The sequence below is a fragment of the Homo sapiens genome, chromosome 17, assembly GCF_000001405.40.
Source record: "Homo sapiens chromosome 17, GRCh38.p14 Primary Assembly".
NCBI classification, from domain to species: domain Eukaryota; kingdom Metazoa; phylum Chordata; class Mammalia; order Primates; family Hominidae; genus Homo; species Homo sapiens.
This window is the reverse complement of record NC_000017.11, coordinates 16,695,784-16,722,992: the sequence shown is the minus strand read 5'-3', so window position 1 is coordinate 16,722,992 and position 27,209 is coordinate 16,695,784. Positions and strand designations below refer to the sequence as shown.

General features: G+C 37.4%; 1 protein-coding gene and 1 pseudogene across 7 annotated transcripts in view; both read right to left on the bottom strand.

Annotated features, from left to right (window-relative positions):
- Window positions 1-27,209, bottom strand: part of CCDC144A (coiled-coil domain containing 144A) — a 111,165-nt gene that overhangs the window by 54,889 nt on the left and 29,067 nt on the right. For all 7 annotated transcript variants that reach the window (NR_130142.2, NR_167766.1, XM_017025429.3 and 4 more), the window contains exons 3-8: window positions 17,594-17,842; window positions 15,451-15,524; window positions 13,358-14,197; window positions 11,178-11,314; window positions 2,762-2,795; window positions 2,335-2,476 (exon numbers count right to left, since the gene is read on the bottom strand). Coding sequence is in view for 5 of the 7 variants with exons in the window: in XM_017025429.3 (XP_016880918.1) it covers window positions 2,335-2,476; window positions 2,762-2,795; window positions 11,178-11,314; window positions 13,358-14,197; window positions 15,451-15,524; window positions 17,594-17,842 (1,476 nt within the window). In the remaining 2 variants the exon portion in view is untranslated. The remainder of the gene's footprint in view (window positions 1-2,334; window positions 2,477-2,761; window positions 2,796-11,177; window positions 11,315-13,357; window positions 14,198-15,450; window positions 15,525-17,593; window positions 17,843-27,209) is intronic.
- On the bottom strand, window positions 12,632-12,930 carry RN7SL620P (RNA, 7SL, cytoplasmic 620, pseudogene; annotated as a pseudogene).

Here is a 27,209-nt window from a genome sequence, read left to right as displayed (position 1 = left end):
AAAGTCTGACAATGATATTACAAAAAGAGAAAACTCCCTCATGAACATGGACGTAAAAATGTAACCAGTTTCTCAAGAAACCAAGATATCCTCCTTTAGGTGAGTGAACAACTTCTGGTACAGCCATGCGATAATGAGCTATCATGCCATGAGAAGACATGAAGGAACCACAAAGGCATATTACCAAGTGAAAGATGCCAGTCTAAAGGCTACACGCTGTCTGATACCAACTAAATGACATTTTGGAAAAGGCAAAACCATAGACACAGTAAAAAAAGTCAGTGGTTGCCAAGAGTTGGGGAGGGAAGGTGGGAAAAGATGAACAGATGAAGCGCAAAGGAGTTTTAAAGCTCTGAAATTACTTTGAATAATACTACAATGATAAATACATGTCCTTATACTTTTGTCCAAATTCACAGAATATAAGACACCGAGACTGAACCCTAATATAAACTATGGACTTTGGATGATTATGATTATCAATTCAGGAACATCAATGAGGTCAAGTGTAGCACTCTGGTGAGGATATTGATAATTGTGGAGGCTATGCATGTGTGGGGGCAGGGAGTACAGGGATAATCTCTGTGCCTTACTTTCAATTTTGCTGTGAAGCTAAAACTACTCTAAAAAATAGTCTTTTAAAACGCTCTAAATAAAGCTTTGGCAAATCAAATCCAATGATACATTAGAAGGATAATACATCATAAACAAGTGGGGTTTATCCCTAAATACACGGTTTGTTTGACAGTAAAATATAAGTATTCACCACATTAAAAAACTAAAAGAACCATATGATCATCTCAGTAGATAGAGGCATTTGATAAAATACAACATTCATTCCTGATTTAAAAAAAAAATCCCTCTCAGTAACCAAAGAATACAAGGGAACACCATCAGCATGATAAAGAGCATCTCTGATAAACCTACAACTAACATGTGTCATGATGAAAAACTGAATGCTTTCCCTGTAAGATCGGGAACAATACAGGAATGTCTCCTTTCACTATTTTAGTCAGCATTGCACTGAAGCCAGTGCAGTTAGGAAAGAAAAGGAAATAAAAGCTACCTGAGTTGAAAAGAAGAAGTAAAACTGTCTTTATTCACAATCATGATCACATAATAGGGATGGGTAAAATCCAACCTGCGGGGCAGCTTCTTATTTTTGCAAATAAAGTTTTAATGGAATGCAGCTGTGTTTTTTAACATATGTATTGTCTATGGCTGGTCTCATACTACAATGGCAGAGTTGATTGGCTGTGACAGAGACCATTTTGTCACAAGTTTAAAATATTTACTATGTTTAGTAAGATAACAGTTTGAAAATGAAAAGGTTTGACTATCTTTGGTGTATGTAAAAAAGCTGATTGAATCGAATCTCAATTTTAAATGTTCATAAGCTACCCAGATTGGAAAAGACAGTTCACAGGTGGCAAATAAGCATATACAAGATGCTCAACATTATTAGTCCTTAGGGTAATGCACATTAAAACCATAATGATATGCATAATACACATCCATCAGAATGGCTAAAATTTCAAAATTTAAAAACAGCAATAATAAGAGCTTGTGATGATACAGAACAACAAGAAATGTCGTATACCTCTGGTTGGAATGCAAAATCAATACAAATACTTTGGAAAACAATTTAGCAGTTTCTTAATAAAGAAAGACAAAGGGACAAGAAGAGACTTTTATGGATGATGAACATGTTAACTCTCCTGATTATGGTGGTTTCAAATGTGCACACGATTGTATATTTTATATACGTGCAGTCTATCACATATCAGTTATACCTCACTGAAGCTATCAGTGCTGGAACAAACATATAAGACACAGAGTGGGACACAGAGAAAGAGAAGAGTAAAAACGATGCAGGATAAAGCTAGAGGATTCAGATCTCTAACCTTATAGCAATAAGAAGCAGTAGCTGAGTTATAAGCAAAGGAGTAACATGATCAGATCCGAATTTTTAAAAATTTATCATTATGATTGCAGACTAGACCATGGTTTTAGGAGGTGGGGTATTTGGGAAAACAGTTCTAAGATTCCTAAGATTCTCGCAGCATTCCAGGTGGAGAAAAAAATGGTAACCTGACATTGGGGGAAGGAATAGGAGAGAAAGAGTCAACAAAAAGACTGGGAATGCCACTCACACTGAGAAAAGTACAGTGGAGTTATCATAGCTCTTTGGCGTAGAGTATAAGTTAGTTCTCTATTTTAACACTGAGCGTATTTCTGAGATGAGCTTCACTATCACACGTCAGTTCTCAGCAATGTATACACACATTACTGCAGGATACATCAAAAGGCCTTGCATTTATGCAGTGGTCCTACCTTTATACTCCATTCTAAGTTGTTCAATCAGCAACATAAAATTCTCATAAACAGAGTGAGACAATTCACAATCCTCTGAGGCTATTTCAGATGGCTCCATTGAGTCAGCAAAGTCAGCCTCAGGATATATTTGGTTTTTGACCTATAAGATAAATAATACTGTTTCAAAATGTCCTCGAAAGATTTATAGCATATACTAAAGGTACAGAAGCGGTATTTCTCCATTTTTTTTGTATGAGCAAAAATACAGGTACTTCTTAAAGCAACAGATTGTTCTTAAAAGGTACCATTATCAACGGTTACTGTTTCTTCATCACTTTTTCTAAGCAAACAGCCTTACAACAAAACATCTTATTTTTTTCATTTTTACCTTTTAGAACTTGTTTTTTAAAAACAATATTTTAGATCATTTCCTTTTTTACAATACCTCGTTCTTTTCATTAGATGTTTTATCTGCAGGCCTGAAAAAAAAAAACAATTCCTTTTAGAAAAATAGCAAAGATGTAAAATACAAAGAATATCTAACACTACTGTTTTATCATATAAAATGTCTGCATTTGTGTTACTTCTATTCATCAAGTGTATAGGTAATTTTTTTACAGGTAATGTAAAATGCAGTAATTTTCTACAATGGACATTAAACTATAAACAGAAACAGCAACATTAAGGGATAAAGAAATTTACTACTACTAATTTAATTACAAAGAATTAAATTTAGGTCAAGATTTCTCATAGTAAAACCAAAAGAAAAAAACATGTTACCTGCATTACGTGATAAAAATAAATATACCAGGGTCTTCTCATTGTTGTCCTTTTCAATAAAAACAAGCTTTTACGGGCACTAAAACCTATTTGGAAAATATTACTCACATTCTTATATAAGGGAAACCCTTTTTTAATGATGATATTAGTAAGCTTTTTCTGGACTTACTATGCAGGTACTGTGCATCATTCTGAGCACTGTCCATGTGTCAAACTCATATAATCCTCATAACAATTCTGTGAGGTCAGTAACATATTAAGAATTTTATAAAGAAAGAAAATAGGCACAGAAGGGCCAAGTGACTGTCCTCAGCCCATATAGCTGGTCAGTAGCAGACCCAGAACTCAAACCTAAGAATTCTGCCTCAAAAACATGTGCTTCATGATATGCTGTGAAGGTAACATTTATTTTCAAGTGTTTTAAAGAGAGATGATAGCAGATGAACCCACATTGCCATTCCATTTCTGACTACAACTATAAATAATGTCAGAATCTTGCAATTTTTTTCTAATAAAAAAACTTTATACAGAGGCAAGTTTAGAAACCTACTTTCAAAAAACTAAAAAGTATTTTTAATGAAATCCATCAACAGGTATTCATTCATGTATTCACCCATTCATTCACCCGTTCAACAAATAAATACTCATTGAGCACACAATACATGCTGATGGCAATGTTGGTCCAGGGAAACATGGTTTTGATACTTCAGAACTTTATAATCCATTGTAGGTCAACTTGATTAAATATTTTTTAAAAAAACTTTATAGGCCAGGTGCAGTGGCTCACGCCTGTAATCTCAGCACTTTGGGAGGCCGAGGTGGATGGATCACGAGGTCAGGAGTTCAAGACCAGCTTTCCCAAGATGATGAAACCCCGTCTCTACTAAAAATACAAAAATTAGCTGGGCACGGTGGCGGGCGCCTGTAATCCCAGCTACTCAGGAGGCTGAGACAGGAGAATCGCCTGAACCTGGGAAGTGGAGGTTGCAGTGAGCTAAGATTGTGCCACTGCACTCTAGCCTGGGTGAAAGAGCAAGACTCTGTCTCAAAAAAAAAAAAAAAAACACTTTATAATCCAGAAGTAATAATCTGATAGATTGTCAACAGTTAGCTTTTCTAAAGTACTTAAACAAAACCCTCCCCTTCTCCCCAGAATCTAAACAACTATAAAGTTGATACTCCTGACATTTTAGAGTACCTCAGCAGATCATACCTATTCATCAGGGATGTTTAAATTCTATTCAGTATGGCCTAAGTGTTTGCATGTTTATTATTTCACAATTAAAAACAATCTGCATATGATAGTTTAAATTTTAGGTCACCATTCACAGGTTCAGTTATGCTAATATGTTACATTTCTGAACCAATGCTGAAGGAACAAACTCTTACCATAAAACTCTACGTGAATAAACACTTTAAGGACAATTAGTTTGCTAAAAACCTACAAAAGATAATGAATCGAGCTTTCAAACACTTAGACATACAAAATTAAATCTCATAAACATGTTATCCTTGTCCCTATCATTCCCAGCAGCATACAAACACACTCTAAAAGCTTCTATTTTGAAATAAAAAAGAAAGAAAATTCCCTTGAATCCCACATTCTTCTTCAGTTATCACTCATTTCTCTGTTGCCTTTCCCAATAACGGTTCCCTCAAGGGGTATCTATGCTTATCCACTACAGTCAGGATTCCACAGCAATTATTTATTCAAACTGCTCCTTGTCAAAGTTACCAGCCCTCATCATAATCAGTCTTTCAGCATTGATATAGTTGAGTATTCTCTAGCTTTGGCAGACTACACTATTTTCTATTTCCAGAAAAAGTAACCACTGGGAATATTCCTTCTCAGAGAAATAAAGAACTTATACATTTTAACTTCTTTCAACCTCATCTATTTCACTTAAACTGCTGTCATCATCTCCTTGCAGCAGACCACAAGTTACTAAATTACCTTCTCAAACACTGGCGTAATCAGAGATTATTTTGAGGTACATTTTTTATTTTCATTTTTCTTTACTTCCTTCATATGTAACGCAGAACCACAACTTTAAAAAATCTACAAAAGGCCAATGTTTTATAATAATTCTACTGATAACAAATAAAAAAAATTTTGTAAAATTCCAACTCTTCCCCATCTCAATTCATTAATTCAAAAAACACAGTTATGAATTATCAACATATAAAGAAATATATATTTCCTGCCTCAAAAACCAGGTAATATGCAATTATGATACAATGTGTAGTTTAAGAGTTGATATATGGAAAGTTATATTTTAGCACAAGGAAGGCATTACAGAAGAGGCAAAATATAAGAGGAGCTCACCAGGGAAAAAATAGAGAAAACTACTCCACTTGGAGAATGGAATGACAGCACAAAGATTAGTCCCATGGAGTCTAGGTGTTTCCTAGGAACTTGAAAGGAAAAGTGTAAAACACAAAGAAAGTAAGAATGGAAGATGAATGCCACACTAAAAAGCTGGAGTCAGCTGGGTGTGGTGGCTCACACCTGTAATCCCAGCACTTTGGGAGGCTGAGGCGGGCGGATCATGAGGTCAATAGATCGAGACCATCCTGGCCAACATGGTGAAACCCATCTCTACTAAAAATACAAAAATTAGCTGGGCATGGTGGCGCACCTGTAGTCCCAGCTATTCGGGAGGCTGAGGCAGAAGAATCGCTTGAACCCAGGAGCTGGAGGTTGCAGAGAGCTGAGATTGCCACTGCACTCCAGCCTGGTGACAGAGTGAGACTCTGTCACAAAGAAAAAAGAAAAGAAAAAAAAAAAAAAAAGCTGGCCGAGCGCGGTGGCTCACGCCTGTAATCCCAGCACTTTGGGAGGCCGAGGCGGGCGGATCATGAGGTCAGGAGATCGAGACCACGGTGAAACCCCGTCTCTACTAAAAATACAAAAAATTAGCCGTGTGCGGTGGTGGGTGCCTGTAGTCCCAGCTACTCGGGAGGCTGAGGCAGGAGAATGGCGGGAACCCAGGAGGCGGAGCTTGCAGTGAGCTGAGATGGTGCCACTGCACTCCAGCCTGGGCGACAGAGCGAGACTGCGTCTCAAAAAAAAAAAAAAAAAAACAGCTGGAATCCACTGCACACAGGCAATGACTCTCACACATGAAACTCATATTTAGATCTGTGCTATGTTTTGGGTTTTGTTTTTAAATATAATAATGTTTAAACAGATTAAACCAAGTCTTAAAAATAACAGGCACATATTACATGAAAGAAATCAAGGAAATGTCTCGGGAAGAAAAAAATCTTAGTGTTAAAATTCCTAAATGTCATTATAGTCATTATATATTGTTCAAAAATAGCAATATTCTGATTAATTATATGCTTGTTTGAAAATAAAATAATTTGGTAAATTTCCCACATATTTAGTCTAGTACTTAGTCTTAATATAAAAAGCTGGATTTGCCAGCAGAAAATTGTAATTACTTTTTTATGAAGTAAACACACATTATATCACTATCATTGCATGGAAGAGAAAGTGAACAAAAAAAGATTAAGGAATAAAAAAAAGAATATCACTATCATATAACTACATACATTAACAAAGAGACAAACATTTCCCACTGGAGATTAGGAGTTTAGCAGAAGTCTCTGAAAATACTAAAAACTGAAACAAAATTAATAATTGTTTTTTGTTTGTTTGTTTGCTTGTTTTTTAACTATGTAGCGAATTCTTCTGGTTAAGACTAAGCATCAAAAAAAGAGATCTTCCTGAGAGCAATTATTAAACAATTCCTCTTGACCCACACTTCCAAATTAAGTCTATAGTTCTGGAATATGAAATCATTTTCATTTTAAACATAGTTGATGGAAGGCAACTTTTAAACAGAAAACTGCAGTTTAAAGTTGTCTCAAACTTAGTAGCTACATTTGTAACAAGCAACCACCCACAGCCAGTTGTAAATACAGTCAATCATCAGTGACCATTGGCCTCTCTCACCAACCAATATCAACGTGCGCCACTTGCTTTGGAAAGACAGCCAATTAAACACAAACTCGCTCCAATCCACAAGCCTGGGAGTGTTAACCAACCCACAGCAGCCTCACTCAGATAGCCATGTTTCTCAAGATGATGTTAACCCTCTTATGCCGCTGAGAGTCTGCCAATGCTTCAAGTCCGCTCCTCCCGCAACCCTATGTAAGATCAACAGCTGCTCTGTCAGAATACAGAGTGCCTGATGAGCATAGCTCTCTTATAGAAAGCAACACATTCCAACTTGGTCTTTTAACTTCAAATACTGAAGGTTCATAATCAATTGGAAACAATTTTAAGTCCATTAAATTTACCACCCTTATATTTTAATTTTCTTTATAAATTACCAATGAACTATGTAATTCCTTTGATCCATTTTATCATAAGTAAAACTATCATGATTATTAGTAAAAGAATAAATAGTGAGTAATGACAATATTGAGCTTTTCTCTCTAAATGGAAAACTATTAATACAAAGAATGTAGCTTATTACAAAGAGCCAAAAAATCCAAAAACGCATATAATTTCCAGGCAAAAGTGTTAGAATGAACCCATGTGAAACCTTTTTCTTTCTTTCTTTTTTTTTTTTTTTACCTGAGAATCAATCTAATGTTTAAAACAATACACCGAAGGGTAAACTTCAGTTGCTCATTTAATAAATATTTATTGAGTAGCTACTTATTGCAAGCTAGGCCCTTTTCTAGGCACACAAACATCCTACTCATGGGAGTGAAATAAACACAATAACCATAGATAGATTAGGCAAAATATACAGTGTTAAAGGAGAAAAACTAAAGCAGGAAAATGAAATGTTTACAGGTTTGAGAGGAGGGATAGTGGGAATTCTAGGATGGCCAGAAAAGTCCTTACTGAGAAAGGGGCTTTTAAGTAAAGAACTGAAGGAATGGAAAAAGAAAGCCAGGAGGCTATCTGAGGAAAAGGCATCCCAGACACAGGGAACTGCCCAGTGCAGAGGTGTGCCTGGGGTGTTTAAGCAACTGTGATAGATAACGAAGAGCAAGAAGTTTAGTGTAGCTGAAGCACAGCAAAGGGAATAAGAAACAGAAGTTTAAGTGAGAGAGAGAACAGGGCATATTGTGTGTTGCCTTCTAGGTATGAGGAGGAACCCTGACACATACTCAGAGTGAAATGGGAGGCAATCAGATGGATCTGAGCAGAAGAATGACATCATCTGACTTATGTTTTAAGTGCCACTGAGTTAAGGATTAATGAAAAGAGGTTTCTTTAAAAAAAAAAAACAGACCAATTAACAGTCTATTACATGCATCTAGAGAGCAGATGGTGGTGGCTTGGAAATGGAAGATATGACTGGCTTCTGGATATATTCTTCAGGTACTCCTGACAAGATCTGCTGACAGATTAGATGTGAGGTGTCAGAGAGAGAGGGGAGTCAATGACAACACCTTAGTTTCTAGCAGAGCAACTGCAAGAGTTGCCATTAATGCAAGTAGGAAAGACCATGTGAGGGGTAGGTATGAGAAAGAATATCGGTACCCCAATCTTGGACCTGGTTTTGTGATACCCAACAGTTCGTGACCAATCAAACAGAGATGTCAAGTAGGCAGGTTGGTGTAGAAGTCTGGAATTAAGGAGAGAGATCTAGGCTGGAGACACGCATTTGGAAATCATTAGCACACACAAGGTAGTAAAAGTCATGAGAAACAAGATTGAGGACTGAGTCCTGGGACATATCAATGTGTAAAAGGTGGGATATGAGAAGAAAGCAAAACAGACTATGACAGATGGACTGGAAAGGCAGGAAGAAAAGCCAGGTGAGTGAGTGAGATCCTGAAAGCCAAGTGAAGACACTGTTATGGAGGAGAGAGTTTTCCATTGGGTCCAATATTGCTGACAGGTTAAATAAAATGAGGTCTAAGAAACAATGTCTAGATTTACAAATCAATGGTAAACTTGAGAACAACAATCTTGGAAGAGTGGTAGGAGTGAAAATTACTGGTATCAGCTCAAGAGTGAATGGACAAGAAATCTGAATCCATGAGTATATACCACTCTTTCAAGGCCAGCATACCTAGGGGCATGACTGTAGATGATCTAATTTTCTTCTTGTTTAGCTGTATTTTTCAATTCTTATATAACTATATACTATATTTTTACCCTTTAAAAGTTTTTTTAAATCATATCTATATGGCATTTTTGAAATGCCAGATGAAGGTATTAAATAAAAATTCATTAACTTATAAAACCAAAAGACCTCTTGAACATTTCTAGATTATATAAGCTGATTATCATTTTGCTCATGCTTATACATAAAGACCAAGGAAGACTAAAAGTTTCAGGAGAAGTATTTCTTGCTTGATAAAAATCATCTAATTCTAGAATATTTTATACTCATCAAATATACAAAGTAATAGTCAAAATATGGAATTCTATAACACGAATAAAAGGGGACAAGTGCAGAAAATAATCTTATTTTGTAAATCAAATTTGTCTAAATTATATGAAGCTACTGTTGAAAAATATGGTGTGTTTCCTACTGAAATACATTATCTTTTAAAAGAAAGGATAATGGCATGCATGTAGGGTACCTTTAAAAAGAGGATTCACTGCATAACAGCACCTTGGTTTTAGCACAAGGATCAACAAATTGGTGCTTGTGGAGCAAATCCAGCCCACTGCCTGTTTTCATAAGGAAATTTCCTTGAAATGCAGCCACACTTATGCCCTTTATAATTCACAAGGCCTAAAATATTTACTAACTGGCTCTTTACAAAAATAGCTGTCCAATTCTTGGTTCAGTAGAGCTAAGATCCTCTGTTGTATTTTAGTAAGTTTTACCCAGTATATTGAAAAGCTGACACGGAACATGAATCCCCATGTGCAATCCCTTGGCAATATTCAGATTAATTTGAGGATCTGGTATTTCAGCACTCACACATTGACAGCAAAAAACAAAAATTTAATAACTAGAATTCTGTTGCTAACAAGGTACAGTGTCAATGTAGCATGTAGCTAGCTTCCTTTTGTAACTCAGCAGATATTACGAGAATTCCAACAAAACTGGCTTAAGATGTGTCATCAAACTAAAGGCTTTAAATAGACTTTAATTGTGAAATAATCAGTACACTCCTGGTCTAACAACTTCTTTTGTTAAAATGAGTGCATGCTACATTATTTTCTGGGTATGACAATTGTACTATTTCCTTATTGCTAAGGATTTAGACTATCTCCAACTTCTTGATATTATAATGCTATAATAAATATCCTTATACATAAGTATATATGCAACATATATAAATATCCTTAACATAAATATATCATATATACTTAACATTATATATATTTAACCTATTAGCCTATTGTATGTTACATACTACATGTAATAAATGTCCTTAACATATATGTGTATGTGTTTACACAAGTCATATTTTCCTGTAGGATCTTGTCCCAAAAGTGAAGTTGTTAGGTTAAAGAAGTGACATATTTGAAATTTTGATACATGCTACTAAATTACCCTACAAAAAGGATTCATCAATTTCATTTAACAAGTGTATGAAAACGCCTTTTTCTTCACATTTGCCAATACTTCCGATTTTTTAAATAAAATATCAATATGATTAGAAAACATGGTGTCTCATTGTTAGTTTGCATTTTTCTGATAACCAAGGAAGGCTGAATATCCTAGTAAAAGTATAAAATCTGTTCATCATGAATATTAGCCCAAATTAGGATTCATTTCATAGCACATGTCTCCTGTTTTTTGTTTTTGTTTCTGTTTTTGCTTTTTTTTTTTGAAATGGAGTTTTACTCTTGTTGCCCAGGCTCGAGTGCAATGGCATGATCACAGCTCACCACAACCCCCGCCTCCCAGGTTCAAATGATTCTCTTGCCTCAGCCTCCTGAGTAACTGGGATTACAGGCATGCACCACTACATCTGGCTAATTTTGTATTTTTAGTAGAGATGGGGTTTATCCATGTTGGTCAGGCTGGTCTTGAACTCCTGACCTCAGGTGATTCACCCGCCTTGGCCTCCCAAATTGCTGGATTACAGGCGTGAGCCACCACGCTTGACCAATTGTCTCCTGTTAAACGCTGCTATAGGCTTACCTGTCATGCTCTCCATTTTCCTTCCTAGGAATCTGCTGATTTAGTCCATCATCATCATTGCCAACAGTAGTACCATCAGTTAGGGTTCCTGATAATTCTGTGCTATTACTTCTGTGCTTCTCCATTTCTTCTTCAACCTTGAGTGAGAGTTTGATGTTCAGGATGATTGTTATTGCTTTATTCAATACAAAGAACTTTTTTCTGTTTGCATTGATTTCATCATCACTTGACTCAGTTTAATTATAATTTCAGTCATTAAAATATTTGGTGCTTACTTTAATTTTATCACATCTGGAACTATCATCATATAATTATAATTATTATAATTTTATCATCAACATTTTTGTAAAGTCAGCTTCATTTCTGTTTCAATGAATGAGACAGAATTTTCCAAAATTTCAAGCAGGGCCCTTCTTAATTTTGTGCTTTTATTCCCAACCACCCTTTACTATGTATTATGAATTTTTACCTCATTTGACTGGCACAAACATGGAAATAAGAAGATAAAGACACAAAGCTTGTCTTCTTCTGTCTTTGCCACTTGACTTTCATATTAAACAGCCAGATTGAGAGGATACAACACTGTGGGGTTTCAGGAAAAGAAAGGAAGCTTTCCCTTTTCTGCACTAAGCTATTCTTTTCCCCCACTAACTTTTGTTTTTTTTTTTTTTTTTTTTTTCATTTGAATCCTGGGATATCAAAAAGGTGAAGGTGCTTACTGAAATACAAGTCTGCCACAACACAAAAAGCAGAGTGAAACTGCTGAGCTAGGGTGGAATTCTGGAAATGAGATGCTTCCCAAATTTCACATTCAATAGCCATAAAAGTTTATAGCTGGAGGATATACAGTATAAGAATCTACTTTAGCTCACTCTCTATAGATAACTGGGCTAAAGCCAAAAAAGATTAAAATGATTGATCCAAAGCCCCTAAAGTGCCATTACCTAGCATTTTGTGGCACCAAAAGAGACAGTACAATTCCATAATACTGAATCAGACAAATTCAGCAAATTAATCAGATAGGTTAAAAGTGTGACTTGGGTAAAATAATTTAATGCCTTAGCGGAGGGTGGGAGGCCTGCCCTAATCAATGTAGAGGACTCAGCTTTCTACTTTGGCATCATATACTAAGTGTTTGGCTGAGCATTTATGCTACTTACATGGAAAAAATATATATGCCAAAACTTACTGTACTTTATTAAGCAACATAACATAAAGGTCTGATTCAACAGAAACAGTGGAGAGTAGTTATATTAACAAATATATTAAAGTGTATATACTTGTTGTTGAAAAATATTTAAAGTGGTCATGATGCAATTCTAAGTTCCAGCAGTTTGAGTTAAACAGAAAAACCTGAAAAGCACAATAAACAGATTCATTGGCCAGGAATATTTGCTGCAGCTCTCAGGGCTGGATACTTCTTTTTTCTTTTCTTTTTTTTTTTTTTTTTAGTAAGAGATGAGGTCTCACTACGTTGCCCAGGCTGGAATGCAGCAGCTATTCACAGGCACGACCCCACTACTGATCAGCACAGGAGTTACTTATGACCTGCTCCACTTCCGACCTGGGCTGGTTCACCCTTCCTTAGCAAATCTGGTGGTGCCCCGCTCCCAGGAGGTCACCATATTGATGCCGAACTTAGTGTGAACACCTGATCGGCATAGCACACTACGGCCCAGAATGCCTGGCCTCAAATGATCCTCCTGCCTTAGGCTCCCTAGTAGCTGAGACTACAGGTGTTTGCCACCACGCCTGCTAGATACATTTTTATATCTCTTCTTAGTCATTGCTTCCTTTCTACTGTATTCCCATCTTATTGTTAGACACAACTCATCTTTAAGTCGGTAAAAGGAAAAAGCCCTCAAGCTCATCACATTTCCTTTAGCGATTTTCTTGACGCCTCTCCTGGTTCTGAAGGTCACATGATATATGGCTAAATGAGTTTCACAATCCATACGCCACTTGGAAGACTGACAGAGAGACTTAGGTCAATTAAGAAACGAAGATTATGAGAAAGTTTTCCTAAACTCCTATTACTTAGAAATCATCTGTTTCTACACACAATTACAGATTTAGACAACCAAACTGTATGCTTTTCATATGCTTTTCCTAAGTGGAAAATCAGAATGGACCAGATAATTGAGAGAAAAAACAAAGAGTGGCAGCAAGTAAAACCCTACATCTTTATGAAGTTGAACATCTTCTTTCTTCAAAGCCAGGAACTCTTCTTCTAATGTGTTGACCTCATTCTTAAACTTTTGCATGTCTTGCTGTAATTCTTCATGTAGATATACTTCTGATGTTCTGTCAGAATCTGGTGGTAAAGAACTCAGATTTTCTAATTTAGGTTTCAGGCTTTTATAGTTGTTTGTACTGCCACTGTCACTATTTTGGTTCATATTTTTTGTCATTTGCAAATCAAACTCTTGGTCTTCTTTCATTTCAACCATAACCACTTCTGGGTTCCTTGCTTTCTTAGTGCTTGCATCATTATGAAAGTTCTTATCTGTACTAAAAATATGTCCAATGCCTGGTTTGTTATCATTGTCGCAGTCTAATTTATTTTCATGTAAATGAAACTTAGAAGATGACTGGCAAACATGTTCCTGGGACCCAGAGTATGGATGATAGTATGGATGGATGATATTTTTGAGACTGGGTTCTTTTTGTTCAGGAAATGTCTCGAATACCACTGAGACAGATATTTCAGATGCATCTTCTTCCTCACAACCAGGTATGTTATTTGTCAAATTAAAGGGAATATCCTTTACATCTGTTCCTCTTGTAGAGTTATCAAGTAGTGGCTCTTCCTCAGGACAAGCCGGAATTTTGTATTTTTCATAAATTTCACCAAACCTCTGCTTTAACTCATTTATGACGAGTTTTAATTGGTTTTTCCACTCTAATTTGCCTTGTTCAATCCACATTTCCTCAGATTTTTGCACATGAGGAAGTACTGGATATATAGGTATATCCTCTCTATCGCAATCCTTAGCCATTTCTGGTTCTTGAGACGTTTTCTGCAGATGCAAAAGTGGAAGATTAATTTGCTTGTTTTATTTCTTGGGTGTCTTCTCTGTTGGGCTACATGTTTTAAAAATAGCTTTGTCCTTAAATAACAGGTATGAACAAAGAAAAATTCACAAATAATTAAAATGAAAATTTAACTGTTAAACTTCTTCATCTAGGTTTAGCTACTCCCAAATCACTGGCTTGTAACTAAGAAGTTAAAAAAAAATTGTCTTAGCTGAAAGGAGGAGAAAAATATGAACCAGCAAACTTAACTTTGTCACTGTTTGTTTGGAATAAACTTAATTCATTATGTATTAAATCTACCAAAAATGAATTAGCAGACGATTTCTAGTGTTACAAAGGCGTCCTCACTTGGAAAGTGAGCCCCTACAGTACACGTAAGTACTACATATTACTACATGTAAGTACTATATATTACTACATGTAAGTTCCATAGATTACTAACTGGAGGGTAGGCAATCTTCAAATTATTAGGAGCCCGAATCAACACCAATCAGAAAGAAAAGCAAATTCTTAAGTTTTAATTTAAATTATATACTGTAACATCATAGGGTTATATATCTAGACTATCTTCTTCAGTTCTGTTCTAATATATACTATGGTCCCCTAATAACACTTACTAAAACTTTAAAGATAATTCTTACTAAGTTTCTGCATCTAAAAAGTTAGAAAGTTATTGTTTGTACCCTAACACCAAAGATCCCATTCTGCAAGGTATGATTCCCTTAATAGGCAGTTGGGTTGATTTCATAACCCCACTCTCACTGAATGTAGACCGTGAAGTCAATGAAAGGCCACATCTTTAACCTAGGCATTAGTAACTGGCAATATAAAACTGCAAAATTTGAGCCACTGGCCATGATTACTCTTATACCATGAATCCAACTCAGTGGCCATCACTGTTAAATTGTTCATAATTTCTGCTGCTTAATAATATGTCAATAATTGACATTATCTTCTTTATCCCATAAGGATATTGTAAGAATGGAAGAGCAAACAAAATTCTGGAATGTTTGCCTCTACTCCAAGGGTAAAGATTAACTATAAGTTATGATAGATTCTAACAATATTGTGTTTTATAACTAGTTTAAATGTATTTAAAATTAAATATTAAGTAAGGATCTATTGGTTCTCAAAGGCTAGTCTGAGAGGTAATTTCATTTGGGCTAGCTTATATTATTAAAGCAAAGAAAAGAGTATTAAACCAGAAATTTAGATTTTAGTTTAAATGTTTCCACACCTGTGGCTGCTTATTTTCGCATCCTTTAAGTCTTTCTTGCTCTTCCTCTGATGTCAGCTCCGAGTCTTGTTCTGCTGCAAAATCCAAACATTCAGTTAAACTACTTAGAACAGTTAGATAAAAGACATAGTCTTTATAAAAATAGATTTTAAATTACATTTCATTTTATTTCATAAATTGAGAGTTTAAATGAAGCTTGATCTTTAGTGGAATACTTACTTCTTTAAGAAATACTTCTAATTCTCCAAAACTTCAACAAACCACTTTCTGGGAGACACTAGATGCCACCAGGTTAAAGAAATACAATCATGTTGAAGATTCACTCACAGATTCATCCACCCAACATCAATGAACAAAGCCATCACAAACAAAACAAAATTTTGGAATGCAGTAGTAATATTATCAGGCAATGCTGCATACTGTTCTCCACTTCATAATAGTACCTTATTAATGATTTCCAAAATGACTGTGGACACCTTTATTGGTGTACAACCACTTCCTAACATCTGAAATGGTTCCCTGTATTATTCTGACAAACGTATTAATATTTTCATCTTTTAAAACAGACTGCTAAAAATAAATAAATAAAATACATAAAATAAAAAACAGACTGCTAGGTGAAGTTGACCCTCATCCTCATCTTTCCCCAGGTAAACAGGTATCTAGGTATCTCCTTCCTTAGGGCTGCCCTAGAACTGATTTTTCTACTGCATCTCCACCACCCGAACTGTCAATTATTGCTTTACATGTCTATTCCCTTTGCTCCTTGACTGTAGGGAACAATCTTGAAAATCATCTTTGTACAAAGAGTCATTATCTATTTTACTCAGCAATTATGTATTGAGTCTTGCTATGTGCTAGGCACTAGGATTTAAAGAGTGAAAAGAAAGCATGTCAGAGATGACTTTTCTAGAGATCCTGCCCGAGCTGAGGCTTAAAGAGTGAGGCTAGCCTAATTAGAAGGGGTAGGGGACAGGAAAGAGTGAGAGCATGACAGGCAGCAACAAAAGGCAGAAAGAGGCCTGAAAGAGTGTATGTGTTTGCCTGCAGTCGAAGGATGGGTCAGCAGGACAGGACCAGCAGTTCAGTAAGGCCAGAGAAAGGGCACACAGGGGAAAGGGCTAAAGATGGAGAGCTGAGCAGAAGTCACATTATGAAAGCCTTACGTACAACTTTAAGATGCTTGGACATTAATGTTCTCAAGAGTGGTCCCTGGTCTTATTTGCATTGGTGATAGAACACTGTCAATGCCAAAACCAACATCCCTAGCGAACACATTTATTAACGCAAGGTGGTAGCTCATGTGGACACAGCCAAGGAGATACTATGCAGCAAATTCTCAATAAGTCTCATTAATTACTGACTTGGAAAGTCAATTCTATAATACATAAAGTCATAGAAACGATAGGAAGTCACTTAATATTTGCTTTTGGAAGGTGTTTTTTTGTTTTTGTTTTTTGAGACCGGAGTCTTCCTCTATTGCCCAGGTTGGAGTGCAGTGGCGCAATCTCGGCTCACTGCAACCTCCACCTTCTGGGTTCCAGCGATTCTCCTGCTTCAGCCTCCTGAGTAGCTGGGACTACAAGCGTTCACCACCATGCCCAGCTAGTTTTTTTTTTGTATTTTTAGTAGAGATGGGGTTTCACCATATTGGCCAGGCTGGTCTCGAACTACTGACCTCATGATCCACCCACCTCGGCCTCCTAAAGTGCTGAGATTACAGGTGTGGGAAGGTGTCTTTTAAATTGTAGTGCATATAGTTATAACTAACAGCTGTGAATTCAGAGCTGTAAAAATAAAGCAAAGAAACCACATTGTGTTTGAGTCAGCAATCTTTAGGTCTCTACTAAGTTATCCTAAATATAATCCTATGTTAGTCCCTAAACATACTTAGTCCCTATATTCTAAATATAATCCTACTTCCTAAAGAAAATCATGCTTTCCCCTAATTCTCTGTTATCTAGATGTTGCTTTGGTTAAAGGAAGAACACAAATATCCTGCCAAAAAGTATTCTGTTCAGTGCAAAAGGTGAGTAAACACAAAGCACATTTTACCAGAAAAAGTTTTTTTAAGTCAGAACTATAGCTCTATGCAGCCAAGCAGAGGCACTCTAGGACTGAATTCTCTATGCTTCTTTGTTACCTTCTTTGCTCTCTTTGTTTTCTGGTAGCTGTGATTGGCACAGGTCATGGAGAGTATCATTCCCTGAGAGAAGTACAACTCCAGTGTCCATCTTTTCTCGTTCTGTTAAGTTCATCTGTCCCAGTTCTTTGGTTGCTGACTGATTTTCAGGCATTGATGGTGATACAGATGGACATTTATCATCAACTTTCAGATTCTTGGATCTCTGACAAGTCTCATCACTAAGGGTCAAATTAGTAGGATGCCAATCTGAAAAATCCGAAAATGAAGTTTTCATTTTTAGGATGTAAATAACACAATAATTTGACTAACTTGTATACATGCTTTCTTCACAGAAACAGTCCTACATCCTGCTCTCTCCCACAACACACTATGCATTCAGGCTTATTATATTTTACATGTCCTATGCTTACAATTCATTCAGGTAAGTATAATTAACTATCATCTCTCACTTTTCTACATTTTTACTGCTTACTATTACTTACTTTTATTCACTCAGGAGTCTCTAATACATATTTTGCTTTCCATTAAGATTCTTCGTGGATATAAATCTTTTAAAACAGAATTTATGTCTAACTATTTTAAGCTTAAATATACATGACAGCATTGTATGTATGTATTGTAGAGACACAGGATTTACAAAAACTCATAATAAATATACTTTTAAAACTATTTTAATTATAATGAGATGGTCTTTCCTCAATGCACCACTATCTTCAGAATTTCCTTTCAAATACTTGGATAAACTTCATACATTTATTTGCAAAATAAGAGCTGTAAGGGCTCTAACTGTTCCCATGTGAGAACAGGATTAGTCTAGGACCACACTAGATCCAAATAGCACACAGTGCCACGAGACAGGAAAGGAATACATAACAAAAATATTTTCCTTTTTACTATATAAACAAAATTGTTGGGATGTAAAATTTTTTTTTTTTATTTTTTGAGACGGAGTCTCGCTTTGTCACCCAGGCTGGAGTGCAATGGCGCAATCTCGGCTCACTGCAAGCTCCGCCTCCCGGGTTCACACCATTCTCCTGCCTCAGCCTCCTGAGTAGCTGGGGCTACAGCCGCCTGCCACTACGCCCGGCTAATTTTTTTTTATTTTTAGTAGAGACGGGGTTTCACCGCGTTAGCCAGGATGGTCTCAATCTCCTGACCTCATGATCCGCCTGCCTTGGCCTCCCAAAGTGCTGGGATTTACAGGCGTGAGCCACCGCGCCCGGCCTGAGATTTAAATTTTTTAAGACAAGTGAAAGAAAAAAGCCAAAAACACATAAGTGAAACTTTAAAGTCCATTTCACCATAAAGGGTGCATTTATCCACAACCACATATGTGGTTTAAAATGTTGACTCTAAATTATGATCTGAGAATCCCTGGAGTTCAAGATCCAGATGAGGGGCCAAGACGTCAAATAATACAAAATGTTATTTGCCATTTTCACTCTCATTCTGTTTCACGTGTACAGTGGAGCTTTTCATAGACATGGTGTGTCATAACATCATAGCTCTAATGGTGAATGGGTCATAGTTCTAAAGGCTATTGGAATGTATGGCTGTGCGTGCTTGTGTTTTTTTGTTCGTTTGTTTGTTTTTTGAGATGGAGTCTCACTCTGTCACCCAGCCTGGAGTGCAGTGGCGCGATCTCGGCTCACTGCAAGCTCCACCTGCCGGGTTCACGCCATTCTCTGCCTCAGCGTCCCGAGTAGCTGGGACTACCGGTGCCCTCCACCACGCCCGGCTAATTTTTTGTATTTTTAGTAGAGACGGGGTTTCACCGTGTTAGCCAGGATGGTCTCGATCTCCTGACCTCGTAATCCGCCCGCCTTGGCCTCCCAAAGTGCTGGCATTACAGGCGTTAGCCACCACGCCCGGCCGCATGCTTGTTTTTAAAATATTTTAGTTTTTATTTCTAAAATAGTAAATATCAAAAGACACAACTGACTTAAATAAAAGCTCTTTGGAATTTGCAATAATTTTTCTTTATTTTAATTATTTATTTATCATTATGAAGAGACTTTGAGATCCAGTCATTTGATAGAAAACCAGAGCTTCCTGTGTCAATAAGGACTGACCTCAAAAATGTAATGTGACCAGACAAAAGAAAGTTGCAAAATATGTAGAGTGTAAAACAATTTATATACAATTTTAGGACATGAAAACAAATTCTACATATTATTTATGACCATACACATATGTAATAAAATGTTTTAAAAGGGAATGGACATAATAAATTCTTAATTCAGGGTGTTGGTTCCCTCTAGGCAATAATATTTAATCATATAAAACGAACCCCAGGCCAAAAAGTTTCAGAATCAATGTTTTAAAAGACTGTGTCCACCATATAGTTATTAAGGGTAATTAATTGCTTTCTTCATTTTTGATAATCAAAACACACACACACATGATTTGCTGACCAGAATATCTGACTGGCTTAAAATCATCAGTATAGCCACACTATGATGAAATAATTAAACTTAAAGCACAACTAACATATTGGCAAGTAAAGTTTGTCTTATCTGATAAGTTTTGGTGCTGCACGTTCACCTTATATTCTTTCCACCTTTCTAATACCCCACTCTTCTTTTGAAGTATTATCTCATTTTACCACCCTCCATCATATCCACTTGCTTCTTTTCCCTTCATTTACTCTCTGTACTCTCTGCCTTCCACATTCTTTATTCCCCCTTTTACTCTTATCCTCTTCCTTCTATCCTGACACTGCATATCTAGGGTTCAGTACTATCCACACTTCCAGGCATTCACTGGGGGTCTTGGAACATATCCCCCATGGATAAGGGGGGAAAACTGTACATTTTGTTGTGTAGGTCTATGGGTGCTGTGCTGTGTTATGTGGCAAAACATAGGGAAGAGACCAGGGACAAGGATCTTTGCAAAGACTTCTCAGCTGCCAGTGGAGAAGAGCTCAAGGGAGATCAGTGTACTCACTCTCACTAATCCTCTTCTGGGGCAGATGCTGGCAATGTTTACTGAGTTCTAGCTATTTTCCCTAGCACAAACAAGGCTCAAATTCACCTCCCATTTTACCTCCTATGGACAGAACCATTGGAAAGATCACTCCCTTAAAGAGCTTATTCACTCTGAGCCACACCGTTCATTCAGTGAGAAGCTTAAGAAGAAACACTGCCACAGTGGTGGCAGGTTGCCAGGGAGTACTACCTGGTAAGAAAAATATATATGAACAGAACTATCAGCTCACTCAAGCTGCCAGAATGTGCCAACAGTTGTTACTCTCTCTGGTGAAAACAAAATTATTTTTCATTTATTGTAAAGAAAAACACTGGCATTTCCTATGACAGAGCATTTAGTTGTAGATGAGCCATATTATAATAATATAGACTGTTTTCAAGCTCATCCCTAAAAGGAAGAGAACCAGAGAGGAACATATTTATTCACCTGTAGTGTTCACTGCCTGATCTTCTTTTTAAGTGCAAGGTAAGTATGCAAGACTTTGTGATTCTAGTTTTATAAAGTCCAGCTCCTGAGATTATCCCGTCCCATCGCTAGAGTCTATCTGGACCCATCTCCTAGAGCACAATGGTCCAGTTAGTGCTGTGGAATACTGCATGATGCCATTTTTCCCCACCCTCCCCGTTACGTGGCAAACGTCTACAGAGATCACGCTTTCTCAGCACGTCAAATCATATGCCATCAGATCCTGTTCTGATGAACACAACATGAGGAAAACAAACGCAAGGACAAAGAACATCTAAAATGACAGAATCAAATTACCATGGAACTTTATTGTTTAAATATTCAAAAAGATATCCACCACTGTTTTATTCCAACTATATGACTAGTCTGGAAAAAGCAAAACTACTGAGACACCAAAAAGACCAATGGTTGCCAGAAACCAGTGGAGAGGAAGAGACGAAACAGTGGAGGACAGAGGATATTTAGGGCAGTGAAACTATTTTGTCTGTGATACTACAAGGGTATATACATGCCATCACACATTTGTCCAACACCATAGAATGTACAACACCAAGAGTGAACCCTAACGTAGACTGTGGACCTTGGGGGTGATGTGTCTGTCAAGGTAGATTCCTCAACTGTAACTCTGATGAACTCCGATGGGGGGTACTGATAATGAGGGAGGCTATTCATATGTCAGGGGTCATGGGGAATATGGAAAATCTCTGTACCTTCTCAATTTTGCTGTGAATCTAAAACTGCTCAGAAAATAATATTATTAATTTTAAAGCACATACTCACTGAACTTGCTATTACCCTAAATTATAAAAAGACAGAGTCACCTTGAAAATTGCAAATCACTAAAGATCAAGGTAACAGAATATGAGTACTATCTCCCAAATTGAAGCATATAAAAACACATAAAGCAATTAATTTTAATTGTATACTTAGGCAAAAAAAATTCACAAAAATGATTGAATATCTGATCTTATTTCATAATTGTAAACAGGGATCTAGTACAATATGAATCAAAACTGGTCCATCCATGAAAATAAAATGAAAGATAATTTTTATTCTAATTTTAAATCAGAACTTATTATGCCTACTTTATCCCACAATTTTACTGAAAGGTTAATCAGATAAGAAGGACAGATTATAATTACTTAATATTGCCATAGTAACTTATGTACCAATACCTGTTAAGTATTCACCAAATGTCAAAACTGTAAGCAGCCTTGCTATTTAATATGAATGATGCAACTGAAACCAGTACCATGTTATGGTCTGTCATATTATTTGCTATTATATTATATAAAATTTTAAGATAACACCAAAAATTTACTCAGGGGCATAGCTGCTGGGCAGCAAAGATTTCATATAGCAGGCATGAGACACCCATCCTTAGAAAGGCTTGCTTGCAAGGCTAGTCCTTGGCTGGTGTTTGGGACCTTGAATTTGGGAGGGTTCCCAGCATTCCCTAACTTAGAAGAAGGGAGTGGCTCACTGTGCCTAAACTGTTTGTGCAAATGTGGTTTACTATGAACAATTAATTTCCTCCTGGGAGTCTAGAGTTTTGTTACATGTGAGGGAGAGGAGAGGTGGCCTATGTGACTAGCCTCCATCGAAAACATGGGTGCTGAGCCTCTAATGAAACTCTGGTAAGGTAGACAACATTGCACATGTGTCATCAAAATTTGAGGCTGGGGGAATTAAGCATATCCTGCTAGCTACACAGGAGATGACTCCTGTAGCTTGTGCCTGGCTTCCTCCAGACTTTGACACATGCACCTTTTCCTTTCTCGAATGTTGCTTTGTGTCTTTTTGCTGTATTAAATGTAATAAATCAAAGCCCCAAGTATGACTATCTGCTGAGTCCTGTGAGTCCTTCTCAGTGAATTACCAAACCTCAGTGAAGGGGGTCTTGGGAACCCCTGATACAATTGCATTATACAATTTTTTATTGTTTAAGTTGATGTGTTACATGTGACTACAATCAGAAGGTAATTTCACAGAATACCTTTCCCTAATCTGCTTATTTTTTATTTTTTGACATTTGCCTTGGAGATTCCTGTACTGCTATATCCACTGGACTAAAGGCATTAAAAATGCATGAAACTGATGTCAGAAAGTAATTTTAAAAAGCAACAATCCTATTTTAACCCAATTAAAAATAGAAAATCTTAATGACTGACAATATATTCTACAGTATAAAAGTTTCTGGAACAAAAAATTATAAGATCACAGTCAATTTTCTCCCACTAGGTAGGATTTAATTCATTTTTATAATAATTGTGCAGCAGGCCAGGTGCAGTAGCACACATCTGTTGTTCCACCTACTCAGGAGGCTGAGGCAGAACGATTGCTTGAGGCTAGGAACTAAAGCTGCAGTGTGCTATAATCACACCCGTTCAAAAAAAAAGTCCAGGCCGGGCGCGGTGGCTCACGCCTGTAATCCCAGCTACTCAGGAGGCTGAGGCAGGAGAATGGTGTGAACCCGGGAGGCGGAGCTTGCAGTGAGCCGAGATAGCGCCACTGCAGTCCCGCCTGGGTGGAAGAGCGAGACTCCGTCTCAACAACAACAACAAAAAAAGTCCAAAAAACCCTGCAAATAGTGGAACTGATCAGTAAGGATCAACAGGACTTTTAACTTATCTGGCCGGGAGAAGAGACATCTTATGTATAGATGGTTAAAAGTGTGGTAATCCAATTGACCACATATTCTAGTTAAATCACAGATTACCAATTTCTGAAGAAATGTAATACCAGAAAAGCACTTCACATTTAAACTATGTCAGATAAAACAATTTGTATTTGACAACCCAGAAGACACTTAAAATCTTGGCAGACCATCATCATTGTGTCATTGTGGTGCAGATATAAAGAAGTGCATTTGAAATGTGTTCTAATAGTATTTTCTTTAGGAATGGAATTCAAAAGGAAGCAGTAAAAGCAGAAATATCACAAGAGGGTAAATGAAAAGGGAACTGCACTAACAAAAGGAGTCAGGCACTGACTTTTCTCCTGATGTGACCAAAACCCCAAGTACTGAGAACTGCTATATTCAGCATTTCGCTTTATATTTTTCTCCAGGACATTATATTAGTTTCCTGCAATAAAATATTTTTAAAATGTCAGTTTGTCTAAACTGCTGGCCTGTAAACTATTTTTAATCAAAACCTGAAATTGTGTCACAACATGGCTGTATTATGATTCCATGTCAGAGGAAGGATATATACGTGCATCTGGTGGTGGCTTCCAGTTGTTGTTGTCAGATGTTTGTTTGGGAATGCATTCAGAAGAGCCTATCAAGGACTTGAGTACCAAACAAGCATTTCCACAAAAAAGCAGGTAAGAAAGACTACACTTTTCCTCACATATGACCTTAGGTTTAGACAATTCTAGGAAAATGGTGGTACATTAACTCACCAGTCTTGACCATTTTCCCTGATCCTGTACAGGGAGCTGCTGCAGTTACAAAAGTTAGGTAGACTCTTGGTAGGTGTATTCTTCCACATTTGAACATCAGAAGTACTGATCACATAAACAGCGAACCCCACAACTCTATGATTGTTCTTTAGAAGACAGTGCCACTGAAGGCTTTTAAAAGGTTAACTCACTTTACTTTTTAGTAATCTTACTGGTTAGAATTGATACTCCCTCCTTGAAATTCTCACCTTTGTAAATTTTTGCAACATGACTTTATGATTCCTCTCCTCTTTTTCTTTAGCCACGGCTCAGGCTTCTTTCCTAATTCCTCTGGGAAATGCTGATATGCCCAGGGTTCTGTCACTGGCCCTCTGCTCATTCTATACCTTTCCCATCATGGACAAGCTCACTCAGATCTACAACTTTGCCTCAGTTATTCCAAGTCTGCAACTCCAACCTCAGAGTTCCATCTCCAGCCATAAAAATTTTTCCAATTACCTACTGAAAATATCCCACATGGACATTTCAGTAAACTCAGCAATGCAGAGAAAACTGTTAGTCGTGACTGCTGACCTGCTGCTCTCCTCTATACACCTGAAAACTGCCTACTCCCTCGTGTCCCGGTTAAATGCTAGGGCACAAGCCAGAAACCTGAGAATCATCTGAGATTTCTCCCTATCCCCTATCTTTTTACATTCAACAGTCACTAAATCATATTAACTGTACCTCTTTTCTCCATCTGCTTTATATTTCCACTATGACACGTTTATTTTATGTTTATATTTCCTAGTTAAACATGGGCTCTTAAGAATTGGCTTTTATAGGGAAAAAACAACTATTAATGTTATTTCTTAAATGAAAAAAAAAGTTTAAGTAAAATAAATGAAAAAGGCATCATGCCAAGAAAAAGACCGACATTTTTAAATGAATAACTGAGCTCCTTAACCTTACTGATTTCACCATGGATGGGTGAAAACCTCACAACAGACTGACACTAGTCTGAGGACAGCACAAGGAAACTATAGCTCTGATAAATGCAAATGTTTCTTTTGTTTCCCTGTCTCTTTATGTGGTTATCTTCCAGCTGCTCTCCATATGAGGGGTCAGCAAACTACAGGCCATGGAGCAAATCCAGTCTGCCTTATAGTTTTGTAAATAAAGTTTTACCGGAGCTCAGTCATGTATATTTGCTTGCCTTTTTATGACTGTTTTCATACTTCAATGGTACGGTTGAGTAGGAATGACAGACCACATGAAAAAGCCCTGTACAGAAAATGCTTGCCAATCCCTGCTTTATACCATAACCAGATTGCCCTAATACTCAAATCTAATCATGTGACTCCCCACTCCAATGAGTCCCTACAGTAAACATTGCTGTCTCCCTACCCAATAGCGATTCCCTGTTCTGTCTTGCTGGAGAAACACGCATCTATTTGGATATTTATCATGCCAATAGCCCTCCCCACTCCAAAAGAAGAAATGATTATTCTAAGCTCATCATAGTAATTACATTTGCTTCCCCAGTGCCTGGTTTAGGAATGAGCATGTGGTAGGACCCAGCCAATAAAATGTTACAGGAAGTCAACTGCACCCTTCTGAGTCTTCTCCCTAACTAAAAGAAATATGTAAAGAAAAGCCACCCTTTCAGCCTTCAGATATTGTCGGTGAGACCATGATGTTTGGAGCTGTTGCTAATTAGTCAGCCATGAAAACAGACATGAACAAAACACCGTGTTATCACTGAACCATCAAAACAACTCTGGTCCCTACTGTTTTAGCCACTGTTAGTTAGGTCATCTAGTATTTATAGCCCAAAGCATTCCACCTGGTAAATTTCCCATGGCCTACAGGAAAAGTTCTACTCATTTCTTTCTTTTTTCTTTTCTTTTCTTTTTTTTTTTTTTTGAGACAGAGTCTTGCTCTGTCACCCAGGCCGGAGTGCAGTGGTGCGATCTTGGCTCACTGCAGCCTCTGCCTCCAAGGTTCAAGTGATTCTCCTGCCTCAGCCTCCTGAGTAGCTGGAACCATAGGCATGCTCCACCACGTCCAGCTAATTTTTCATGTGTATTTTTAGTAGAGACAGGTTTCACCATGTTGGCCAGGATGGTCTCGATCTCCTGACCTTGTGATCTGCCCTCCTTGGCCTCCCAAAATGCTGGGATTATAGGCATAAGCCACCATGCCCGGCCCGAGATCTACTCATTTCTGTAGTATTAAAAAGTCTGGGCAGGGAGTGGTGGCTCATATCTGTAATCCCAGCACTTGAGAGGCCAAGGTGGGTGGATCACTTGAGGTCAGGAGTTTGAGACCAGCCTGTCAAACATGCCGAAACCCTGTCTCTACTGAAAATACAAAAATCAGCTGGGCATGGTGGCTCGCGCCTGTATTCCCAGCTACCTGGGAGGCTGAGGCACGAGAATCACTTGAACTCGGGAGGCGGAGGTTGCAGTGAGCCAAGAGAACGCCACTGCACTCCAGCCTGGGTGACGGAGTGAGACTTTGTCTCAAAAAAAAGTCTGTCATGAGCTTGCCTTAGGTATTCACTTCATTCCCAACCATTCACATCTCATATGTTTTGCACTGGCAAAACTGAACTGCTCATAAACCCTGCAAAGTTCACTCAAGCATCTTACTTTTGCACTCGCTGCTCCTTCTGCCAAACACACAATCTTCTGCCCACATCATCCTTCTGCCTCTTTACCTATAAAAGTTCTACTCACTCTTCATGCTTACCTTAAATCTTACCCACTTTTTT